We start from the raw sequence: 2,957 nt of genomic DNA on the forward strand, positions 1-2,957 counted from the left end.
AACACTTTTCTCATTGAAATGTTAATTCAATATTACACAACCACTGTAATGAGAGAAATAATGCAAAGAAATATAACCAATTTATTAGCTCTCCCTAATTACTTTCCTCTTTCCATACAAACATAATTAAACCAATGTTAGTAGCCTTTGTATTTTCTCTTAGCCTATGCCCACACAAAATCGTATAAGTGTATATACATATACAGAATTTTGGTTTGTTTGTTTGTTTTAACAAAAATGGATCATTTTTTTCTCACTTGCTTTTTTTTTTTTCAATCTGAGAGCAGGTACTGTTTTATTAACTCACCAGATTAGAAAAATAATCGTGGTAGACACCTTAGTTCATTCTTCTGATAAGCCTGTTGATCTGTTCCTCCCTGTTGCCAGGATCATCACTTTCTACTAAATAAGCTGTCTTTTTTTTTTTTTTCATTCCACCTCATGGAGAGGATAATTTGAAGGGCCACAGGAAGTTGTCTGCTTCTTAAAGCATTTTCCAACAGTATAGATCTCATGAATCAGATCCTCCATGAAGATGATGCCAAGAGATCGAGCAATCAGTGTTACCTGTCAAAGCAATTTGCTTCTTATTGATTTTGCAATAACCATCCTTGTAGATAAGTTCATTTACTGACTTCAGATTTGGGTACCCCCATGTAATATATGGTCCTACAATCCTCAGAATGTTAAACGAAGCCTTGTTGAGCTTCATAAAGGTTCCACTGAAGATTTGATGAAGGTGAAGAAGCTGCAACACCTTTCGGATCTTTGGGCTCACATCACTGATACCTCCGATCCTGATGACAAACATCGTTTTGGGTTCTGCATGCAGGTACATAGAAGTTGCCACCTTTTTTTTTTTTTTTTTTTTTAGACGGAGTCTCGCTCTGTTGCCCAGGCTGGAGTGCAGTGGCGCGATCTCGGCTCACTGCAAGCTCCGCCTCCCAGGTTCACGCCATTCTCCTGCCTCAGCCTCCCGAGTATTTGGGACTAGAGGCGCCTGCCACCACGCCCGGCTAATTTTTTGTATTTTTAGTAGAGACGGGCTTTCACCGTGTTTGCCAGGATGGTCTCGATCTCCTGACCTCGTGATCCGCCCGCCTCGGCCTCCCAAAGTGCTGGGATTACAGGTGTGAGCCACTGTGCCCGGCCGAGAAGTTGCCACCTTTTCTTGCCATCCTACCTATCGAATTTCTGTGCTGTACATCTGTCTATATTCCTTGTAATAGTGCTTCTCTTTTTTCACAAATAAGCTTCCTCCTTGCCTTTTGAAGCATCTTTTGGGCAAAATTCTTTCTCAGGTGCTTGATCTTCAGCTCTACGAAATCCCATTGCTTTTTCTTAAGGGTTTCTGGCACAGCAGGAACCTCCTCCTTCTCTTTGACACCCTCCATGGTTTCAGCCATAAAACAGGGTGCTTTTCTTATTTTAAAACATATCCTCTGTTTCCTCCACATTAACAAAAAAGAGATCTGATTCCTTTTTATCATTTTAATACTATCTAATATGAATTATATCAATTTCAACACTCACATTAACCAACCATGTTGTGTTTTGTTGAGACAATGTAAAATTTTTATTTCAGGCTTCTATCAATATATATTTTTTTAATATTGACTCGAATATCTAAAAAATTCTTAAAGTTTATTTCAAAAGTTTAGTTATTTTAGATGGATAGGTAGTCAGGTAGATAGACTAATTGAAGGCTTATAAAATTTGTATCTTCTTTTGGTCACCATCTACTTTGAAATCTCTGTTCTGTTTCAGTTTTCTTTTAATCCAGAGTATTTTTTTGGATATGGTAGATTGGCACTATAATTTATGGATCATTTTTCATCCTCATAGTTTTGCCTTTTCTGGAATGTTATATTGCATCACCCTAGAAAGAAAACTCAAAAGATCTGGAAACCAGAGGTCTGTGTTCAAGCTATCCCTTTGCTAAAGTTCTAATTTGTACTTCCCTTTAATTTATGGATCATCAGTGTGTGTATACATCACAGCTCTCACTCTCAGGACAATTTCCAATGTATTCCATTTAATTATATCTTGATTAATTAGGTATATTTCCCCTCTATAATCCTTCTTCTAAACAATTCCCTGCTATCTAATTAGAGATGCCTAGAAACAGGGCCACCTCTACGGTCAGCAGGACATCAGGCAAATATTTGATACAGGGTCCTTTCTATATCTGCAACATGATTTTAAAATGCCTTATAATACTCATGGGTTTATATTAGGCATAGAGACTTATCATAAAGATGGTTTTTAATAGTGGACAGAAATTAGGCACTTATCAATTTATTTATTTTCCAGTTAGTGCATACAATTATTTTTTATGGTATCCAAACACCATCTCCTTCTATTCAGGTTCATGAATTATTTTGTGTGAGTTGTCAAATGACCATACAGGCTAATTTCATATTTTCCACCTTCAGAAAATAGAGGACATTATTGTTATTAACCACAATGTTGTGGCTTTTTAGAATCTGTTTGTATTAAAACAGTATCTTGCCTCTGCAAAATCTTAATACCATTGACTTAATGCTGGTCACATTACTACTTATGATGGTACATCATTCATTATGCTGCAAATGAATGCTAGTATTCAGTGGCTCTCTAAAAATTATAGCTAAGCATTACTGACAATTTCCCAGAGTATTCAGGAAAATATGAACAATTATTTTCTAGTCATGTTAAGTGTCCTATTGGAATTTTATAGCATAAACTACACATCTTCCACCTACATAGTCCTCATGATACAGTAGATTATAGTCACTGCATTCCTAGAATTTGATGTCTCTCAATGCTGACCATGCTGTTACCTTTCCCACACGGCCACAAGCAGGGAGGATAAGCAAGAGTCCACATGCAGAACAAAAAGAGCATCCCATTTGCCCAAGGTATATACATCCTTGAGTGTCACAGCTTAGTATTAAACTAGGAGAGCATGATGTCAC

The 2,957-nt window shown here is 37.0% G+C and overlaps 1 pseudogene; it reads right to left on the reverse strand.

Moving 5' to 3' along the window:
• Nucleotides 1-337: 337 nt before the first annotated feature.
• Nucleotides 338-1,394, reverse strand: RPL7P61 (ribosomal protein L7 pseudogene 61; annotated as a pseudogene).
• Nucleotides 1,395-2,957: the final 1,563 nt, after the last annotated feature.

The sequence above is a fragment of the Homo sapiens genome, chromosome 2 (genome assembly GCF_000001405.40).
Source record: "Homo sapiens chromosome 2, GRCh38.p14 Primary Assembly".
NCBI lineage: Eukaryota > Metazoa > Chordata > Mammalia > Primates > Hominidae > Homo > Homo sapiens.